This window comes from Homo sapiens, chromosome 16 (assembly GCF_000001405.40).
Source record: "Homo sapiens chromosome 16, GRCh38.p14 Primary Assembly".
NCBI classification, from domain to species: domain Eukaryota; kingdom Metazoa; phylum Chordata; class Mammalia; order Primates; family Hominidae; genus Homo; species Homo sapiens.
Window position 1 is genome coordinate 24,230,548 of NC_000016.10, and position 22,325 is coordinate 24,252,872.

At 41.2% G+C, this 22,325-nt stretch overlaps 1 long non-coding RNA gene across 1 annotated transcript, besides 1 other annotated feature; it reads left to right on the plus strand.

The window, feature by feature from the left end:
* Positions 1-5,556: 5,556 nt before the first annotated feature.
* On the plus strand, positions 5,557-22,313 carry LINC02194 (long intergenic non-protein coding RNA 2194). The gene is made up of 4 exons (NR_146569.1): positions 5,557-5,589; positions 17,285-17,349; positions 21,386-21,584; positions 22,160-22,313. It is a non-coding gene; the product is annotated as a long intergenic non-protein coding RNA 2194 (long non-coding RNA).
* Positions 15,763-16,962: an enhancer, noted in NCBI's record as "MED14-independent group 3 enhancer chr16:24257631-24258830 (GRCh37/hg19 assembly coordinates)". NCBI's record gives its function as "activates an origin of replication core promoter dependent on BRD2, BRD4, P300/CBP and CDK7 cofactors, and independent of MED14, by STARR-seq in HCT116 cells {active_cell/tissue: HCT116}" and the evidence as "EXISTENCE:reporter gene assay evidence [ECO:0000049][PMID:35650434]".
* Positions 22,314-22,325: the final 12 nt, after the last annotated feature.

Genomic DNA, 22,325 nt, shown 5'->3' on the forward strand with positions numbered 1-22,325 from the left:
TCTCTAAAGAAAAAATGAGGGCACTGATTCTAATTTTTTGAAACTTGAGGCTGTGCAAGTAAAATATGTCCACTGGATGTGTCTGTCAGATAGGCTATAAGCTTGAAACCTGTAATGTACAAGATCAAGAAACATATTTTTCAGCTCTTTTAAGAGAATTCTAAGGCTATTTGGAAGCATCCCGTTTGCAGGATATATTAGCTGGACATTATCACTTATAAGATAATAATTTCACACTTACAATGTGTCAAGACCTATATTCAGAACTTTGCCATAACAACTCAGTTAATCCTCATGACAATTTATGAAGTAGGTACTATGAGTTTTGCCATTTTACAGTTGAGGAAACTGAGGCTCAACGAGGTTAAGTAATTTGCTCATGATAAAATAGCAGATATTGGAACAAGACTTTGAATGCAAAAAAAATTATTGTGAATTAATTGTACACAAAAAGAATGTGGAATGTTGGCATGGCCAGAGTTTTCACCAAAATTCATAAGGCTGTGTACTGCTGAGTGGTGTTGGGATTAGCAGGACCACAACAGGACCCAAGCAATCAGAATCCAGCATAGCCTTACTGTGCACACAGAGTGGCTTGTGTCCAAGATAAATTAGTGCTTGGCCACTCAACATGTATGTGGTTGATGTGGCACAGTATTAAACACACAGATGATGACTAATCCTTATGTTGTGTCATTCATTAATATTAGCTTACTTAGTATTAAATATTAATTTACTTAATCCCAATGAGGCAGATACTGTTTCTTTTTTGTTGTTGTTTTTGTTTTTGTTTGTTTAAGATGGAGTCTTGCTCTTGTTGCCCAGGTTGGAGTGCTATGGTGCAATTTCAGCCCATGACAACCTCTGCCTCCTGAATTCAAGCAATTCTCCTGCCTCAGCCTCCCGAGTAGCTGGGATTACAGGTGCCTGCCACCACAATCAGCTAATTTTTGTATTTTTAGTAGAGACGGGGTTTCATCATGTTGGCCAGGCTAGTCTCAAACTCCTGACAGGTGATCCACCCGCCTAAGCCTCCCAAAGTGCTGGGATTACAAGCATGAGCCACCATGCCTGGCCGGCAGATACTATTTTTGTCATCCCCGTTTTATGTGGAAACTGAGCCACAGAGAGGTGGAGCCATTTGCCTAAGACTACGCAGCCACTAACAAGGCAGAGTTTGAATCTAAACAGCCCAGTTCCTGAGTCTATGCTCTTAAGGATTACAGTTTGCACGTAAATCAATTGAGAACATCAAGTACCTGTGGCTATATCCACTGCAAAAATGCTTGTGAATAAGGGAGGACAGAACAAAGGGAGAGATTTTGAGTTAAGCTACAGACAAAACTGAGCATTTGCAGGGAAATGCTGTTTGCTTTATAATGATGACAGTTGCTATCTTTCATTGAGTGACTACTAGGTTCCCACCAGTGTTCAGTTTATTTCAGCCTCACATAAACTGTAGGAGCTGAATGTTAGTATTAAACTCATTTTGCAGATAAGAACACTGAGTCTTAGAAATGCCAAGTAACTTGACTGAGGTCACATGGCTGGTAAGTGGCCAAGCCAGGGCTTAAATGCAGGTCTGTCAGACCCTAAATCTTGTGTGGTCAAGCCTCACATTAAAATGTTCAAGAGCTTGCTTCTTCCAGAACCACTTCTGCTAAGGGAAGTGGAGTAAGTGGGAACAGGGACTGATTCTTACTAGGCCATGGAGTGAACTTCCAAAGAGTTTCCAAAGGGTTCACATGACCAAGCAGTGCATGAAAGAGTCAAGGTTTAGGATAGAGCCTCATCCAGGATATTTATCTGACACCCGACAGGCTCCAGCCCTCAAACACCCTGCACTTGGAAACAAGAGGGCCATGTACCCCTGCCAAATATAAGGGATGTCCTTCTGCCTTGCTTTGTCCTGGAATCCAACACCTGCCTTAAATCAAACTTACACATTGGGCCGGGCGTGGTAGCTCATGCCTGTAATCCCAGCACTTTGGGAGGCCGAGGCGGGTGGATTACTTGAGGCTGGGAGTTTGAGAGCAGCCTGGCCAACATGGTGAAACCCCATCTCTACTAAAAATACAAAAAATTAGCTGGGCGTGGTAATGTCTTACAGGTCATGCACCTGTAATCCTAGCTACTTAGGAGGCTGAGGCACGAGAATGCCTTGGACCCAGGAGACAGAGTGAGCCAAGATTGCGCCACTGCACTCCAGCCTGGGCAAGAGAACGAGACTCCGTCTAAGAAAAACAAAACAAAACAAAACAAACAACAACAACAAAAAAAACCCTACATGTTTGACCTTCTTAGGGTCACAAGTGGCAAAACCCACCTCAAACTAAGGCAATTAAAAGGGAAAAATGGTTGTATATTTGTTTAGGTAACTAAAGAGGCCTTAGGTCTTTCTGGCTTCAGGTACAAATGGGTCTATGGACTCACGCAATATGAGAAAGCTGTTACTCTCCACCTTCATCTATTTTTTTCACCATGGCTTTATTTTCTTTGGTGGCTCCCAGAATCTCCAACCACCATCCTCAAGTCTTAGTAATACCAATGGAAGGAGAATTTATTTTTTTCAGTAGTTCCAAAAAAAGTTCTGAGACTGGGTTTTATTGCCTCAGCTTGAATATTTATCTCTAACTTAATTATCTTAGCCCAGAGGATAAATATCAGACTTGCCAAACTTGAGTCACCGTACTTGCCCCTGAAGTAGGGTAGAGGTAAGAGATAATCCCTTTGAATTGCTTGGGAAATGGGCAGTTTCCCAGAAGAAAATGGTGGTGTAATTAAAAGAAGAAAGGGGCCAATGTGGTGGCTCATGCCTGTAATCCCAGCACTTTGGGAGGCCAGGCAGGTGGATCACCTGAAGTCGGGAGTTCGAGACCAGCCTGACCAACATGGATAAACTCCATCTTTACTAAAAATACAAAATTACCCTGGTGTGAAGGTGCATGCCTGTAATCCCAGCTACTTGGGAGGCTGAGGCAGGAGAATCACTTGAACACAGAATGCTGAGGTTGCAGTGAGCCGAGATCGTGTCATTGCACTCCAGGCTAGGCAATAAGAGCGAAACTCAGTCCCTGCCCGCCCCACCCCCCCAAAAAAAAATAAAAAGAAAGGGTAATGGATTCTGGAAAGACAATAATGACAAGTGTTTTCTAAAAGATCAGCACATAGAGTCAACTTCCTCTGGATACTAGGGTTGTAGGAGCAGCCCCATTTAGTGTATGATGTGTTTACCTAATCACCCTTAACGGAAGGTGCTCAAGACCTCTGAAGCCTATAGTAAAGGAAACAAGCTTCTTTGCTAGCTTAGGTAGTGGACATTTTCCCTTCTGGAAAGAACACATCTTTCCTGTTCCATCCCTCATTCTTGCTCACTGTGATTCAGGTGGGCCTAACCCTACCCAAGGCTTCAAGCAGGAGACTATGACCTAAACTCATCTTGTTACAGGAAAGGGGTCCCAATCCAGACCCCAAAAGAGGATTCTTGGCTCTCATGCAAGAAAGAATTCAGGGAGAGCCTATACAGTAAGTGAAAGCTAGTTTATTAAGAAAGTAAAGGAATGAAAGAATGGCTACTCCATAGATAGCATCCCCAAGGGCTGCTGGTTGCCCGTTTTTACAGTTATTTTTTGGTTATATGCTAAAGAAGGGGTGGCTTATTCATGCCTCCCCTTTTTAGACCATATAGGGTAACTTCCTGATGTTGCCATGGCATTTGTAAACTGCCGTGGCGTTGGTGGGAATGTAGCAATGAGGACAACCAGAGGTCACTCTTGTGGCCATCTTGGTTTTGGTGGGTTTTGGCTGCTTCTTTACTGCAACCTGTTTTATCAGCAAGGTCTTTATGACATGTATTTTGTGCCAACCTCCTATCTCATCCTGTGACTTAGAATGCCTTAATCGTTTGGAAATGCAGCCCAGTAGGCTTCAGACTTATTTTACCCAGTCCCTATTCAAGATGGAGTTGCTCTGGTTCTCACACCTCTGACAATCTTATACCTCTGGCCATAATGATTGGTTCTGAGGTGATTATGTCCTTTTTTTCTTTTTTCCTTTTGAGACAGGATCTCTCTTTGTCACCTAGGCTGGAGTGTAGTGGTGCAATCTTTGCTCACTGCAACCTCGAACTCCTGGGCTCAAGCGAGCCTCCTGCTTCAACCTCCCAAGTAGCTGGGACTTACAGGTGCATATCACGAAGCTCACCTAAATTTTTTATATTTTTGTAGAGATGGGATCTTGCTATGTTACCCAGGCTGGTGCTGAACTCCTTGGCACAAGCAATCCTCCCGCCTCAGCCTCCTAAATCACTCGGATTGTAGGCATGAGTCACTATGCCTGGCCACTTGTGTGATTCTATTCTTGTCTGAGTCATCACGCTCTGGGCATTAAATAGATGATAGATAGATAGATAGAGCTATTGGGAAATAAAAGCTCTCTCTTCCTGACTGGGGTGGGTGAGAGGATAGGTTCTTGGCTAGGAGGTACTAGGAACCACTTTGCCACCGCAAGGATAGGTCTGGCCTCAAAATGGTGCAACATAGAGGCAACTGGAGCTGAGAGATGGAGTTTGAACTCCTGGATTCAGGCATGCCTGGACTTCTCAGCTACTTGAGCCAATCGATTGCTATCCTTTTTTTCCCTTGAATTAAACCAATTTGAAGTGCATTTTCTGCCACTTGCAACTGAAACAAAGCCTAAATGATACTACCTGGATCCAAATACCAGCTCTACCATTTTCACAAACCATACTCTTTCAGGTAAGTCAGTTCTTGTGATCCTTAGCTGCCTTCTCTATGGAGTGACGATCCCTCTCTTGTAGGGTTTCTGGGGTAGTAATTGAGGTTATAACTGATAATACACTGGGTGCTCCATACATGTAAGTTTGAGACATTGTAAGAGCAGAGAAAGCACAAAGCAAGTAGGATGCAACCAAACTGAATGTCTATCATTGAAGCCAGGAAAGTATACGATGTAGATGATGAGAGCAGGCTGGACGCAGATAATACGGAGTTCTGGAGCTAACTGGAAAGCCAATGCTCAATTGAAACTCATTTACAATTTAGAATTTAAAATCTCTGTAAGGGACAAACAAAATAAACACCAAGACTGCTAGTTCACAAACCCTGCAAAGCAAATGAAACATTTATGTTTCAGGCGAGACCACAACTGTGAGCCATGAGATGCAGTTGCCCAGTTCTGGGTGTTCCCATGAATTAGGGTTCTGGGGAAAGGAAGCCCCGTGGTGCTCCCCGACCATGTCCCCCCTACTCAGCACCCTCTTCCTCCCAAAGCCAAGAGAATTGAAGGGCCTTTGAGTCCATGCCTCTCTTTTAATTTCAAAACTGAACATGACCACTCTTTATTTTTAATCTTCCCTTCCCCTAGTCTATGCCTTCAAGCAGCTTTTCTGGGGAGAGAGTGTTGGCGCCCACACTGGCAGATCTGAGTCCCTGGCCACGTGCCTGCTGTGATGAGGATGTTGCCATGCTCACCCACCCCAGCAGCCTGGAATCCAGCCTTTAGAGGGGCCCACTTGAGAACTGTCAGCATGATGAGGAGAGTGGAAGTCAAGTCCCACAGGTGACCCAGGTAAGGACAAGGAGCCCTCCATCCTTGCCTCCTCTTTAGAAATAAGCATGCCTTATGTCTGGTTAGAGCATCTGTAACAAAGGACTTGACTTGAGGGAGAAGTAGGAGCTTACAATGGTCATCACCATATATTGAATGCTCCCCATGTGCCAGCACTCTTCATCCACTCTCCAAAGAAGAAACCTGCTTAGAGAGGTCAAGGAACTTGCCTAGAGTCACAAAATTAATAGGTGGATAGCATTTTAATCTTGCTCAGTATAAATTCAGAACTACAACTTAGTCATCATACTATAATGCCTATCAGGAGAAAGAATGCATTGATGAGCTGATATGAATGTCCTGATCCATTTGACAATCATATTTATTATTGTTAATTGTTAAAGAATTACCTGATCCATACATCAATTTTCTATCAATTTGATTGGTATCATGGTCTTAAAACATGTCCAGTTCCTTGATGCTCATCCCATCAAGAGGTAGAGACTAATTTCCCTTCCCCTTGAATATGGTCTGGCTTCTAATGAGTAGAATGTGGCATAAATAATGCATTGTGATGTCAAGGCTAGGTTAGGAAAGGCTTTAGAACTTCTACATGGCTCCATGTCTTGCAATGCTCCTTCTTGAAACCCAGCCACCATGCTGTGAGGAAGCTCAAGCCACACAGAAGCCATGGAGAGGTGCTCCTTCTGATAACCCCTGCTAAAGTCCCACCCAGCAGCCAGCAACAATCACTAGATATGTGAGTGGGAAAGCCTTTGAGATGACCTCAGTCCCAGCACCATCTAACCACAACCAGGGAAGGATTCTGAGCAAGAACCACATAGCTGATCCCAGTTAATTTCCAGAACAGTGAAAGATAACAATAAATGATTGCCATTAGAAATGGTTAGTGTGAATTAGTTCCTGTAAAACTTGATCACTCCTTGAACCCTGGCAAAAAAAAATTAAATTAAAAATTAGCTGCTTGACTTGTCTGATTTGACTCCAAAATGAATAAACTTCACTCTTATAAAACTTTGTCTGGGAGACTTTCCACTTGCCTTTCTGAGAGTGCTTTTACGTTTAAATAATATGGATGATGATGATGATTCGTGGTACTACTTCTTGAGGGCTAAGGTCTCTACCTGCATTATTTTATTTTATTTTATTCTTTTTTTCTTTTTTTGCTCAAAAACAACATAATAGTGTCATTTTCTTTTCTTTTCTTTCTTTCTTTTTCTTTCTTTCTTTTTTTTTTTTTTTTTTGAGATGGAGTTCTGCTCTCGTTGCACAGGCTGGAATGCAGTGGCACAATCTCAGCTCACCACAACCTCCGCCTCCCGGGTTCAAGTGATCCTCCTGCCTCAGCCTCCGGAGTAGCTGGGATTATAGGCACCTGACACCACACCTGGCTAATTTTTTGTATTTTTTTTTTTTTTTTTTTTTTTAGTAGAGACAGGGTTTCTTCATGTTGGTCAGGCTGGTCTTGAACTCCCGACCTCAGGTGATCCGCCCTCCTCAGCCTCTCAAAGTGCTGGGATTACAGGCGTGAGCCACTGCGCCCAGCCAGCAGTATTGTCATTTTCATTTTTGGAACTGAGCTCAAATACTTAAGTTGTCCAGAGGGGTCGGGCATGGTGACTCACACCTGTAATTCCAGCACTTTGGGAGGCAGATAGGGAGGATCACTTGAGGCCAGGAGTTCAGGACCAACCTGGAAAACATGGTGATACCCTGTCTTTATTATTTTTTTAAAATTGTCCAGAACACACAGCTAGGAGGCTGCAAGGGTGAGGTCGTTATTGATTCATTGATTCAACATGTATTTTGGAGCCCCTGCAATATACCACTCTCCATGCCAGGCCCTAAGAAGAAGACAGATGAGGCTTTTGCACTTGTACTCCAGCATAGCAAACAGGTGATAAGAAAACAAACCAGTAAGTAAATATCTTAATCTATCAGGGCTACTATAATTTTAAAAAACCATAGTCTGAAAGGCGTAAACAACAGAAATTTATTTTCTCACAGTTCTAGAGGCTGGGAAGTCCAAGACCAAGGCATTGGGTAATTTGGCTCCCTAGTGAGGGCTCTCTTTCTGGCTTACAGACAGCCACCTTCTCACTGTATCATCAAGGGGCAGAGAAAAAGAGCTCTCATCTCTCTTCACCTTCTTATAATGAATCACATCCCATCATGGTGCACCATCCTTATGACCTCATCTAAACCTAATGACTGCCCAAAGTCCCCACCTCCAACTACCATCACATTGAGGATAAGGGCTTCAATATCTGAACTTTGGAGGAACATAAACATTCAACTCATAGCAATAAAAATGGCATTGCTAATTGTGATCATGAGGAAAAATAGTGATGCACTTTGTGGAATTAACGTAAGTGGCTGTCTTCAGTCTGGTTGTTGGCCACAGCCTCTCTGAGAAAATGGCCTTTGAAGGACATGATGTGGGATCTGCACCATGTGATCCTGGAGAAAGAGCATCCCAGGCAGCAGAAACACTGAGAGGAAAGGTAGGGTTTGGGGAAAGGCTTGGTACCTTCAAGGAACAGCACGTGCACACACACACACACACTCACACACACACACAAAAGAGGACAGCATAACAATGAACAAGAAAAACAGGATATGAGATAAGGTCAAAGAAGGAGGCTGCAGCCAGATCACACAGGGCCTCATTGACCAAGGTAACAAATGTGGGTGTGTTTAAATAAAAATGGGAAATTTGGAAGTTTTTTTTTTAATAGGGTAGTGTTATGGTTTGGCTGTGTCCCCACCCAAATCTCATCTTGAATTGTAGCTCCCATAATTCCCACATATTGTGGGAGGGACCCAGTAGGAGATAACTGAATCATGGAGGCAGTTTCCCCCATGCTGTTCTCATGGTAGTAAAGAAGTCTCACAAGTCTTGTGGTTTTATAAGGGGTTTCCCCTTTTGCTTCTCTCTTCTCTCTTCTCTCTCCTCTCTCATTCTCTCTTGCTTGCCACCGTGTAAGATGTGCCTTTTGCCTTCCACCATGATTGTGAGGCCTCCCCAGCTACGTGGAACTGTGAGTCCATTAAACCACTTTTTCTTTATAAGTTACCCAGTCTTGGATATGTCTTTATCAGCAGCATGAAAACGGACTACTACAGGTAGTGACATTATCTGGTTAACTTTTAAAAAGTATCATTTCTGGCTGTTCCATGGACCAAATCAAGCAGGGGAAAAGTGGACTGAGAGACTCCAGTCAGGGTCACCAAGGAACACATAGCTGGACAATATAACCCCTTAACACAACTGAGCTTACAACACCTAGGATTCAGAGTTTGAGCTGCTTTGCCCAGAGCAATATCTGTCTAGAAGTGATCATCCTTCTACTGCAGGAGCAGGAGATTGACAAGCCAGTACTTAGAAAGGCCAGAATGACTAGGTTCTGAATTCAGGAAGAGGGAGTGGATAGGGGGCCATGAAAAGGAGAGGGCAGCCATTATCATTTCCATTAATTAAAAGAAGAAAAGGAAATTAAATGAAGTAGGCATCTGATTCAAGAAGTTAGGAAAGGAAATGAAAGCACATTGTGAGACTCTATGCTAGCTCACTGGAAAATCTTGATGAAATGGATGCTTTTCTGGGAAATAATTACTAAAATTCCTTCAAGAAATAATATAATCTTAAATAAAGTAGCAGAGGGATTAAGAACAGGCTCTGCCATCAGATGGATATGGGTTTTAATCCATTCTCCATGTCTTACTAACTGTGGGAATTTGGGCAACAGTCAATATCTTCACTTCTAAAACAGGGATAGACTGGATACAGTGGCTCACATTTGTAATCCCAGAATTTTGGGAGGACAAGTTGGGAGGATCCCTTGACCCCAGAGGTTTGCAGCTGCAGTGAGCTATGATGGTGCCACTGAACTCCAGCCTGGGTGACAGAGTGAGACCCTGTCTCAAAAGAAATAAGTAAGTAAATAAATAATCAGGGATAAAGCAGTCCCTGCCTAGAAATAAATGTAACTAGAAATGTGCATAACATATATAGAGAAATAACAAAAGTTCATCAAGGAAATTTAAAACAAGATTAGATAAATGAAATTAAGGAATGATTATTTAATAATGTCAGTTCTTCCTAAATAAATGCATGGGTTTGATGCAGTTCTAATAAAAATCCCCTATTAATTTTATTTTTGTTATATATAATTTCCTTTGATGAGCAGGGGAAGAATTTCACAAAATGATTATAAGATTTGACTAGAAGAATGAATGGACAAAATAGCCAAGAACAATTTGAAAGTCAAGAATAATTAGGTAACTCTATTATTCCGTTTTCATGCCGCTGATAAAGACATACCCAAGACCGGGCAATTTACAAAAGAAAGAGGTTGAATGGGCTTACAGTTCCACATGGCCTGGGGGGGCCTCATAATCATGGCAGAATGCAAACAGGAGCAAGTCACATCTTACATGGATGGCAGTAGGCAAAGAGAGAGAGCTTGTGCAGGGAAAATCCCCTTTTTAAAAACCATCAGGTCTCATAAGACTTATTCACTATCATGAGAACAGCATGGGAAAGACCTGCCCCCATTATTCAATTACTTCCTACTGGGTTCCTCCCATAACACATGGGAATTCAAGATGAGATTTGGGTGGGGACACAGCCAAACCATATCAGGAACACTCTGAATATAGGTATTAAAATGGACTATAATGGTTCAAAGATTAAAGTAGCATAGTAGATAAATACTGTAACATAGATTAATATGATAAATATTGTAGCATAAACTCATGTGCTCTATGGATCTATGGGACTATGTTACAATAATTGCAACATAAACAATGGAATAGTACAGATAGCTCCAAGATAATCTTTCATGTACCTGACTTTATTAGATAATAAAAGTGGTCATACAAGTCTATGGAAAAAGAAGTAGCATTCAATAAATGACCCTGGGACAATTGATTAATATTTGAAGGGAATAAATAAAGCAAAATTAAATCTTCATCTCATACTATAGATCAATGTAAATTCCAGATTAATTAAAGAGTACAAAATAATTTAAAAGTTAATGAAAACTAATAAACAATCCAGACAAACTTCTGGCACCTTGATCACTTAATCACAGGCATCTAATCCTTTGCTGTATCTGTGCTGGAAATTACAGAAGGCTGATACCCATATATTTGAAACTTTAAAATGTTTATACTCAATATAGCATGGATGAAACAAAATTCAAAAATGGATATTTGGTGGGTGTTGGGGATCAATATAAAAGGAAATAAATATTTACTTAATCTGATCAAGGAGCAGTAGAGGGAAAAGGGACCTTTAAGAATAAGAAATAGGCTGAGTGCAGTGGTTCATGCCTGTAATCCCAACACTTTGGGAGGCCAAGGCAGGTGGATTGCTGGAGACCAGGAGTTTGAGACCAGCCTGGCCAACATGGGGAAAACCCTTCTCTACTAAAATACTGAAATTATGTGGTGTTGTGGCGGGTGCCTGTAATCCCAGCTACTCAAGAGACTGAGGCAGGAGAATTGCTTGAACCCAGGTGGTGGAGGTTGCAGTGTGCCGAGATCGTACAATTGCACTCCAGCCTGGGTGACGAAGCCAGACTCTGTCTCAAAAAAAAAAAAAAAAAAAAAAGAAAGAAAGAAATCAGAATGATAGTTAAGAAGAATAAACTAATAAATTAATTTAAAAATAAGAGATTATTATGCATAACTTCATGCTGATAAATTAGAAAATGTTGATGAAATAGATTATTAAAAAACATATATGGCCAAAAAAATGATTCCAAAAGAAGAAATAAAAAATCTGAGTAAAGCCATGGAGAAAACCGAAAAATTATTCAAAGAATGGCAGTGGGCTCAGGTGGTTTCATGGATGAAATCATAATGTTGTTTGGAAAAACTGCTGGGAGTTATTGGAATCTATACTTCAATGTCTCATCCACAAGGCATCTTGGGGACCCATGGGAGCTAGGCAGGTGACTAAGGAGCGATCTTCAGGCAGAAGATCATAAGGTGGGCTGGGGACTGCAGTAAACAGAGGCAGGCATGCTTCATCAAATGCAGATGCTACTCTCCTCCAACCAATTGCCAGCAGGAATGTGGGCCCACATTCAATTCATTTCAGTGTAAATTGCAAAACCAGGCAGGCAAAACAAAACATCAGAACCTGTGAGCTATCAGCTTGCACATTCTCCTGAAGATGCTAAAAATGTGGAAGGGTTTAGGGAAAGGCAACCCCCATAACATTATCTGGAATCACTTGTGAAGCTGTTTCTCCAAAGAGATAATTACCCTAGTCAGTCCTTCAAGGTGGGACATTTTGCTCAATAACTTTGGGTCAGTACTGAGGCAAGCCAACTGAGTAACAAAATATAAATATTTTACCTTGTGATGGGTAGCAAAAAGGAAAAAAAAATAAACATTTTACCTTTTACTTCAATCTGAGCACTTCTCAGATTATGGCAAAGGGAGGCCAGGCTATTTTGAACAAATAATTCATTCAACAAATAATTATCGAGCACCCACTATGTGTTATGTGCTATTATGAGTATAGGGCTAGTGCAGTGAATAAAATAGAAAAATTCTCTACCCTATGGAACTTTATGCTTTAGAGACTGAAAAAAATAAACAAGAAGAACCCAGGGTCTTCCAGTCATTTTCAATGTTAAGAACCTTACTTTAGTAATTAGAACTCATGCGCAGGCATTCAAAAGCCCCATCTGGAGGCAATAGAACGTCTGGCACTTGCTTCAGAATGATAGTTAATGGAGCATAGACATGACAAGATTGGCCATGAGTCAGTCACTGTTGCAGCCAGCAATGGGTACAAGGGCATCCATTCATTCTGCTTTTCTGCCCGTTTTGTATATGTTTGGGAATTTCTCATAACAAAAATATTTTTAAAGTCCAATTTAGTTGAAATCAATACTACAACCTCCCATTCCATTCAAAGCCTTTCCCTCTGTCCAGTTCTAGCCTGACCATCAGTGGAGAGCCTCCACTAGTGGGAATGAGAGGAGGGATGTCCTCTCATTCCCCTTCTTCTGTTGAAGGTTCCCCTGGGGCTGAAATGGGAGGGTGGCATCTGGGGTTTGGTTGAGGGTGAGAGGTGAAAGTCTTACTTAGATGGTGCAATCAGTGGTTCTATTTTGTTTTGTTGTTATTTTGTTTTTTGAGACAGAGTCTTGCTCTGTCACCCAGGCTGGAGTGCAGTGCCGTGATCTTGGCTCACTGCAACCTCCACCTCCTGAGTTCAAGCGATTCTCCTGCATCAGCCGCCCTAGTAGCTGAGATTACAGGTGTGTGCCACCATGCCCAGCTAATTTTTTTGTAGTTTTAGTAGAGACAGGGTTTCCCATGTTGGCCAGAATGGTCTCACAGCCCCAAGTGATCTGCCAGCCTCGGCCTCCCAAAGTGCTGGGATTACAGGTGTGAGCCACCGTGCCCAGCCTGTGGTTCTATTTTGGCTGCTGCTCTCTGACATCCATATGCTGTTCTCTTGTGGGCATGATCCCATGAAGAGAGCTTGAGCTCAGTTACTTTCTCAGCATCTACTTGGTACTCAGCACATCTCTGCTACACGAAATCCTGGAAGTGTAAGCTGCTTTGTGATGCTCTCTCTTCCTGCTCTGCAGTGGAAGGTGGTTCCAACCAACCCCTTGCTATCATAGTTCTACAGGTAGAATCCAGGCACCAGCCTCCATGTTCAGGTGTTCATGTGTGCCCCAAACACCAGACAACACTTGCCAATTTCTCCCCAGTAGTCCCACACAATGTTCTGCTGGAACCCACTGCTCTCTTCTAGGTACCAACCTAGAGTCTCCACAGGTTAGCAAGCATCAGGGAGTAGCATGTCAGTCTCCCCTAATCTCTCCAACAAGCTGATTGGGCCTCCTCTTACTTGCTTGGTGGGCGAGAGCTACTCCCTCTTCTATCATGGGGATGGAATAGGAAAAATCCAAAGTACCTTCCTCTCCTAGCCATTTCTCCCACCTCATTGAACTCCAGCCTTCAGTCTAGATCATTGAGATGGGAGTCATCAGAGCGAGGACCACAGAACACACTTGGCCATCTCTTGGTAAATGCTAGGGAGTCATGTGGCAGCTCTTTGGCTCTGGATGTGGGAATATTTCATGCTTATTGTTTTCACCTTTGAGGATTTGGCCAACATTCCAAGCCACTAGGAAGAGCCCCAAACTACATTCTATTTCACTTGATTTTAGGAAGGTTTCCAAAATTTTAGGAAGGTTTTAAGCTTCTTAGTTGTCTATTTGAAGTATTTATATCATCTCTCAATAAAGACACCTTTTGAATCTCTAACTGCCTCTTGGGTCATTTTGTTTTCCTCTTGTGTAAGTCTCAGGGAAACTGATTAACCACGTAATAGCCGTTTGTTATTCTGAAGGTGGCAGATTAAAGCAAATCTCATTAAGAGCCAGCTTCTTTGGCATCATACTTCTATTTATAGCTGCAGCTGACATTTATTGAACACCTAATACGTGCCAGGCACTGTGTTAAGCACTTATGTGTATTATCATATGTAATCCTCATTACACAAGAAGGAGGTTTCATTGACCAAAGATATAGCTTCTATTACTATCCATATTTTATTTATGAGGAAAAAGTGACACTGAAAGATTACATTTCTCAAGGTCACACAACAGATGATGCAATTAGGACTCTAACCCAAGCTTCTCTAGCCCCACATCCCATTTTCTCTACCAATACTATCTGCCATGCTCTAAGTGCAGGGTCTGATGCTTCCATAGATTCAAGTTTTTCTCCTAAAACCTGTTCTGGATTAGAGATGAACAAAGGTTCTTTCTCCTGATTCTTCTGGCAAAGTTTGTCCAAGACACAATTTGGGGGATCTTTATCCTGAGTCTGGTTTCTAAAGTCAAGTCTTGGGGAAATGGCCAATTTCACAACCTCCCCACCTCATACCTCAATCTAGGTGGTGAGAAGAAGAGCAAAGCCCTAGGGAAGCTTGGAGCCAAAGAGATCTGCTATTTTCTTGCCATCTTCCGGGTCTCTGCTACAATTTCTTGTCCCATGGAGCACAGACAAGGCACTGATGTACCACTAAGAAACAAAACAAAACAAAACAAAACAAAAATTTGACCACATCATTCCCCGCTTAAAACCTCTCAATGTTCCCCATAGTTTTCAGGAAACAGTCATATTCCTTAACATCCAAGACATCAATACAATATCTCTTGCCTGAGTTAATGCCACTGCCTCCTAATTCATCTCCAAGCCTTTATTCTTGCCTGTGCCATCCACTCTGTGGCTAGAGTGAAATCTCTGAACTGTAAATCAGATCTTGTTAACTCCCTTGCTTAAAATTGTGCAATGGCTTCACCCTGCAAAAGAATTAACACCCAAACTTCATTTAACCTGGCCAACTAGGGCTATACAGTCTGGCCACAGTCCACTTCCCTAACCTGATTTTCTACCATTTTTCCTCTTGTTTACCATTTGTCTACCACTTGACCATTTCTGTTTTTCAACAAGCTGCATTCATGATCCTTCCACTGGGGATACCTTTTTCTAGATCCTCTTAGAACTGACTCCTCCTTCACTATTGACTTTTCTCAACTCAGAAACCACCTCCCCAGAATGCCCCACTGACCATGCTACCTAAAGCAGTCCTTCTACTGCCAAGATTGGTCATATTGTATCACATTGCTTACGTTTATTTTTTGCAGCATTTTTCACTACCTGCATTTTTTTGTTTGTTTTGTTGGTTGGTTTCATGTTTACTGGCTATCTCCCTCACCTAAAATATAAGCTCTTTCAAAGCAGGGAATCTATCTGTCTTGCTCATTGCTGTACCCTTAGAACCTACAGCAGTGCTTAGCAAATAAGTAGATCTTAATAGATACTTGTTGAGTGACCTAACATGGCTAAAAGTCCCTGAATAATTTGGAATCTGTTTATCTGTAGTGCACAGTGAATAGCTATTATTCTTTACTTCCTACCATTTATCCAACCTTCTTCTGGTAACAGCACCCTCGATTTTCTCTAAAACATCATCCTTTATGCTACTGTCCATCCACATGGATTAAAATAAGGCCAGTTTTCCTTCCTATATGCCCAGAGATTGGAAAGGAAGCCCAAACCTAGAAATCAGTGAATTCCATTTTGTGTCCATTATGATTGGTTCAGGTGGGTATGAACTAAATGAGTCAATGAGAAAGCAGCCCCAAGACATTTACTGTAACTGTTGGTGGAGAGATGTCCTCTTTCTCCTAGGATTGCTCAGCTGGTAAGATGCAAGCCAGGAGCTCTTGGTGCTTGAGAAGACAGCCTGCTAAGTGCAGAGGGGGGAGGTCTGAGATGGAGAGAGACGGACCCCAGAAGCTATAGATATCTACCTTTGGACTTTTAAGTTACATATATTAATTGATTACTTCTGTTTGTCTTATATACTTTAAGTTGGATTTCTGTTAACTGTAACTAGAAGCTTATGACCAATAGGCTACCTCTCTAATTTCATGTCTCCTTGCCTGAATAAATTAGGAATTGTGCTCACCTGCTAAACTTGAAAAGGGGTGAAATACGTGAAAGAGTCTGTTTTCATCATGTAATGAGAATTGTTGAGATAAAAGCTTTTGGCCTGTAGTAGTAGCGCCATAATGCTATCAAGGACTCTGGCTTCTTTCAGTATATCTCTGTTGCCAAGGCTGGAGTGCAATGATATGGGATTATAGCTGACTGCAGCCTCCATGTCCAGGGCTCCAGTGATCTTCCCACCTTGGCCTCCCAAGTAATCAGGATTACAGACATACTCCAGCATACCTGGCAAAAAAAAAAAAAAGAAAACTTTTAGAGATGAGAGGGGATATTGCTATGTTGCTCAGGATGTACTCCTGGGCTCAAGTGAGCCTCCCACCTCAGCCTCCTGAATAGTTGGCATTACAAGCATGAGCCACCACACCTGGATCAGGCTTCTTCTGTTTTATTTTCAGGTATCCTAAACATGTGCTTGTTACCTTATGCAACAACATGGCTGATCTGACTCCACCATTAAGTCCTAGTTCCGGGTAGGAAGAAAGCCAAGAGCAAAAGGTGTCACCTACGTGCTAGCAAAGTCTGTCCAAAAACCTGCTGGGAGGAGATTTTACAGAAAACCCACAGAACAAGTTTGGTTTTCCCTTTCTTAAATTTTGGTAAAATATATATAATATTTGCCATTGTAAATGTTTGTAAGCATACAATTCAGTGGCATTAATCACATTCACAAGGTTATGCAATCATCACCTCTATTTCTAAAATTGTTTCATATATCTAACAAAAATTCTGTAACTATTAAGCAATAACTCCTCATTCCTGTCTCCTCTCAGCCCCTGATAAACTCTAATCTACTGTCTGTCTCTGTGCACTTGCCTGTTTACGTACCTCATATAAATGGAATCATGCCATATTTGTCCTTTTGCATCGGGCTTATTTTGCTTAGCACAATGTCTTCAAGATTCATCCATGTTGTGACATGTATCTGAACTTCACTCTTTTTATGGCTGAATAATATTCCACTCTATGTATATACCACATTATGTTTATCCATTTGTCTGTTGACGAATACTTGGGTTGTTCTCACCTTTTAGCCATTATCTACACTGCAATTTTTGATTACATTGTATCAGTCAGAATTTTATGACAAAACCATCCTACTCTGTGAGGAAAACTGAACAATGTAACTTTATTTCAGCTAGAGAGAGTGTCCCCAGTCACAATTGGAGTCTTATGTAAGAAGAAATAAGGAAAGCCTACTGGGTAAGTAACTAGAAGATTCTGTAACAATCCACTTTTTTTTGCCAGCAAATATCATTATTTGAAAAATATATATTTAGAGGGTACAAATGCAGTTTTCTTTCATGCGTATATTGCATAGGGGTGAAGTAGTGTACCCATCACCCAAATAGTAGTGTACCCATCACCCAAATAGTAAATATTGTACCCAATAGGTAATTTTTTAGCCCTCACCCCCCTCCTACCCTCTTTTGGAGTCTCCAAAGTCTATTTTTTCTACTTTGTATGTCCATATGTACGCATTGTTTAACTCCTACTTGTAAGTGAGAACATGTAGCATTAGGCTTTCTGTTTCTGAGTTATTTTAGTGAGGGTAATGACCTCCAATTTTATCCATATTGCTGCAAAAGACATAATTTCATTCTTTTTTGTGGATGCATAGTATTCTATGGCATATATATATATATATATATATATATATATACACACACACACACACATATATATATCACGTTTTCCTTATCCAATCCTCCATTAATGGACACTTTGGTTTACTTCACATTTTTGTATTGTGAATAGTGCTGCAAAAAACACACAAGTGTGGGTATCTTTTTGATATAATTATTTATTTCCCTTTGAGTATATACCCAGTATACCCAGTAGTGGGATTGCTGATTGAACAGTAGAATAGTAGTCCTATTTTTAGCTCTTTAAGAAATCTTTTTTTCTTTTCTTTTTTTTTTTTTTTTTAAGACAGAGTCTTGCTCTGTCATCCAGGCTGGGGTGCAGTATCGCAATCTCAGCTCACTGCAGCCTCTCTGCCTTCTGAGTTCAAGTGATTCTCTTGCCTCAGCATCCCAAGAAGCCGGCACTACAAGCACATGCCACCACACCTGGATAATTTTTGTATTTTTAGTAGAGATGGGGCTTCACCATGTTGGCCAGGCTGGTCTCAAACTCCTGACCTCAAGTGATCCACATGCCTCGGCCTCCCAAAGTGCTGGGATTATAGGCGTGAGCCACTGCGCCCAGCCGAGATATTTTTATACTGTTTTCCATAGAGGCTGTACTAATTTACATTCCCACCAACAGTATGTAAGCATTTCCTTTCCTCTGCATCCTCACCAACATCTGTTATTTTTTGACTTTTTAATAATAGCCATTCTAACTGGAAAAAGATGATACCCCATTGTGGTTTTAATTTGCTTTTCTCTGATAATTAGTCAGAAAATGTCATTCTATACATAGAATACATTTATCTTTACCCAAAGGACATCACCCCCAAAGTCTCATCCACGTAAAAGGTAAGATTTCTGGGCAGCTTGCAGCCCTCTACAGCAGGTTTGGGTGTGTCCTCTCTTGGTCTAAACTAAAAGACAATTTACTTGCTTCCAGCACATCCATCATTTAATTGTGCAGAAGGAGCCACATAATAAAAAAAAAACTCCTTTTAAAAGCAGAGACTAAAGTACACACAGCAGTCACACATGTATAGAAGTGATCAACTGAGCAAGAATAATATTTGTCTTTCCTAAGAATGGAAGACTTTCCTGGCTGGCAAATCTGTTCCCTTTTCAGAGAGAAACTTCCTTATTCATTACTTTTCATCACCCTACTCTCTGCCCCCTGGAAGGTTCTTCTGTGTCCATCTCTCTCCCTAGATTCATCTGAGGTGGAATTGGAAAGGACAAGCTTCTTGTTGGGCTCAAGGATCTTTTAGGAGTTTAGCTGTTTAGGGATTTAATAGTCTCAGGTTGCTATGTATCAAGCTTGGGAACTGTTTGGGAATGTAGTTCCTTACTATTCCTCCTTGTTGTCTTAGGTAGCATTCCCTAGAAGCAGAGCCTAAGGCAGACATTTGGATGCAAAAGACTTATTGAGAAAGTAACCTTTAGGAAAAACCCCAAGGGAGTATGGGAACAAGCATAAGAAAAGGCAATGATTCTCCAGTTGTGGTTTCCTAAAGAGCAGTATTAATACCTCTTGAGAACTTGCTGAAAATGAACATCTTCAAGCACCACCCACCTTGGAAACTTTGAGGGTGGAGCCCAATAATGTCTCATTCAACAAGCCTTCTAAGCGACTCTAATGCACACTATGGTTTGGCAACCATAGAGGATGGAGATGAAGCCCAACGAGGATGTGGTAGTCTTGGCCTGATCATCGGAAGACTCTAGAGCATAAATTGTATCTCAGAGTTGTCCCTGCCTCTGGGAAGAGGCCAGACTTTTGCACCCTTGTATCTGACTGCAGGGAGAAGGGCTCTAATTCCTCGGGAGAGGCAGCTCCCATCAGCTGAGACCAATTATCCCTGGAAGGGGCAGCTGTGGGTTAGAAAGGTCAGGGCTAGAGGTGTATAAATGAATCAATTCAGTAAAGAGAATCTGAAGAGTGGTGTACCAACAACAACATCTTCTTCTTCTTCTTCTTCTTCTTCTTCTTCTTCTTCTTCTTCTTCTTCTTCTTCTTCTTCTTCTTCTTCCTCTTCTTCTCCTTCTTCTTCTTTTTCCTCCTCCTTCTCCTCCTCCTCCTCCTCCTCCTCTTCTTCTTTGAGACAGGGTCTCACTCTATTGCCCAGGCTGGAGTGCAGTGGCACCATCATGGCTCACTGCAGTCTTGAACTCCCAGGCTCAAAGGACTCTCCTGCCTCAGTCTCTTGAGCGGCTTGGATTACAGGTGTTCACTACCATGCCTGGCTAATTCTAATTTTATTTATTTATTTATTTATTTTTGGAGAGACAAGGTCTCACTATGTTGCCCAGGCTGGTCTCAAACTCCTGGCCTTAAGTGATTCTCCCACCTCAGCCTAGCAAAGTGCTGGGATTACAAGCACAAGCCACTGCATCTGGCCTGCAATTGCTCTTATTGGTCCAATTGTCTCTGTCCTCTTCATGAGACTAAGAGTTTCAAGTGATCAAGAGCAATCTCTTTCCTGCTTGTTATTTGCTCATCAGTGCCTGTCACAGGTGTAAATCTTAATAATTACTTATGCAGTTAGTTGATTAAACAAATACTATTTAAATGCCTACTATATCCTGAGCACTATTCTAGGGTCTGATAATTTAGATTTGAACAAGACAATGCACCTGTTCTCATGGAGTTATTTGGCTTTAGTTGGGAAGATGACAATAAGCACAAAAGCATATATGTACATATATACAGTATAATGTCAGATATTGATAAATGCTATGAAGAAAAAGCAGAGTGAGAGTATAGAGAGAAGTATGGGGTGTTATTTTTAGATAGAGCAGTTAAAGAATTCTCTAAGAAGGTGACATTTGAGCTGAGGTATGAATGAAGTGAGGGATTGAACCATGACAATATCTAGTGGCAGCAATTTGTGTGTAAATTCAAAATTATTTTAAAATAAATGTTTCTTACATATAAAGTATATTCAGGGAAGAGCATTCTCAGCACAGGAAATCAATGGGTGAGTCACAGGAAACACCTGGCATTTCTGTATCAATAAAATAGGAGGTAGTTGGAGGAGAAGGACAGGTGGCACAGTGCTTACTGTTTTTATTTATTTTTGAATTAACTTTAAACTTTTATCAAAACATACATGTATAAGATTTTTAAAATCAGATAGAAGTGGCTGTAGTGAAAAACAACTGTTCTGGTCCCATCCTGTTCATTCTCATTACTCATTTCATTTTATTTTAGTTCATTTCACCTCAACCTCTCTTCTTCTCTTCTCCAAATATAGATTAGAATATTTTTATTTTTATATTGGTTATCTTTAATTTTCAATGACATACCAGATACTCTAGATCTCCTTTTATCAACTCTAGAAGTATATCTTGTCTATTCTCTTTGTATAATAATATCAGGATGTTACATCCTACCATTCCCCTCCTTCTACCTCCAATTTCTATCACTGTCTAGAGAGTAGAAACATAACTTCATGTAATTGGGTTCAAAGAGAGAATAGAGAAAGAAGAGAGAATAGAGAATAGAGAAAGAGAGAGAATACTGAAAGAAGGTTAACAAGACTGAAGTTGAAATAATGATGTGTGAATGTTTTGTAAGCATATTTGGTTTTTAATGCTTTTTTCTATAGGTTGAATCTAAAAGTAGAAAACTCATAACAAGGCTATGTGTGAACATCAAGAGAGAATTCAAGATGGCGGGGATGACACTCTTTAGTCCATGTGTGCCTGGTTTTCATCATCTCCTTGACTTACACACATGTGGGTGCCTTTACCTCTGAAGACTTTTTCTCTTCTAACTGATGATGCTCCATTCTCTTCTGACAAAAGGTAAAGCTGGTTTGGTACCACTGACACCCAGGTTAGTTGGGGTCCAATATCTTCTAAGCCCCATATCCTGCCATGTTGTCTTCTCCTTCGTGGTCACATTTTACTGCTGATCCCATGGACATCACTGGAGTGGTGCCACAAGTAGATCACATAGACTTTTCACAGAAGTCTTCTGAGGTATCACAGAATTTCCCCCTTTTCTAAGAACTATCCTCCCACAACTCACAGGGGCTGGTCCTGATGGCTGCGTTTATAGTACATGACCCTGAATCGTTGGCCACAGCTGCATGGACCAGGAAGTGGCAAGCAACATAAGCTAGGCTGATCAGGTTGTCTCTCCCGGAAATTTTGAATTAGGACTAAAACTTCCCAGTTTAGTCTGGGTGGGTTTCTTAAATAGAGATGACATAAGAACTCAAAATCTAGCTTCTATTTCAAGGATCAAAGAATAGATGAAGCAAAACAATTTTTCAACTAAAAATATGAAAAGAGGCAGAGATGCAAAATGAAGTGACTGTCAAGACTCCTGATGGCATTTTTTTTTTTTTTTTTTTTTTTTTTTTTGCTGGTTCCAGCTCCCTGCCAAGGCCTGATTGAACCTCTGCCCTGTGGTTCCTTGAAACATCGTCATATTCTTGTACTAAATTCCCCATTTTCTTAAGCTAGCTCTGGTAAGTTTTTGCCATTTACAGTCAAAGTGAACTCACTAATAAAATATTCCCAACTGCATAATCTTCTCCC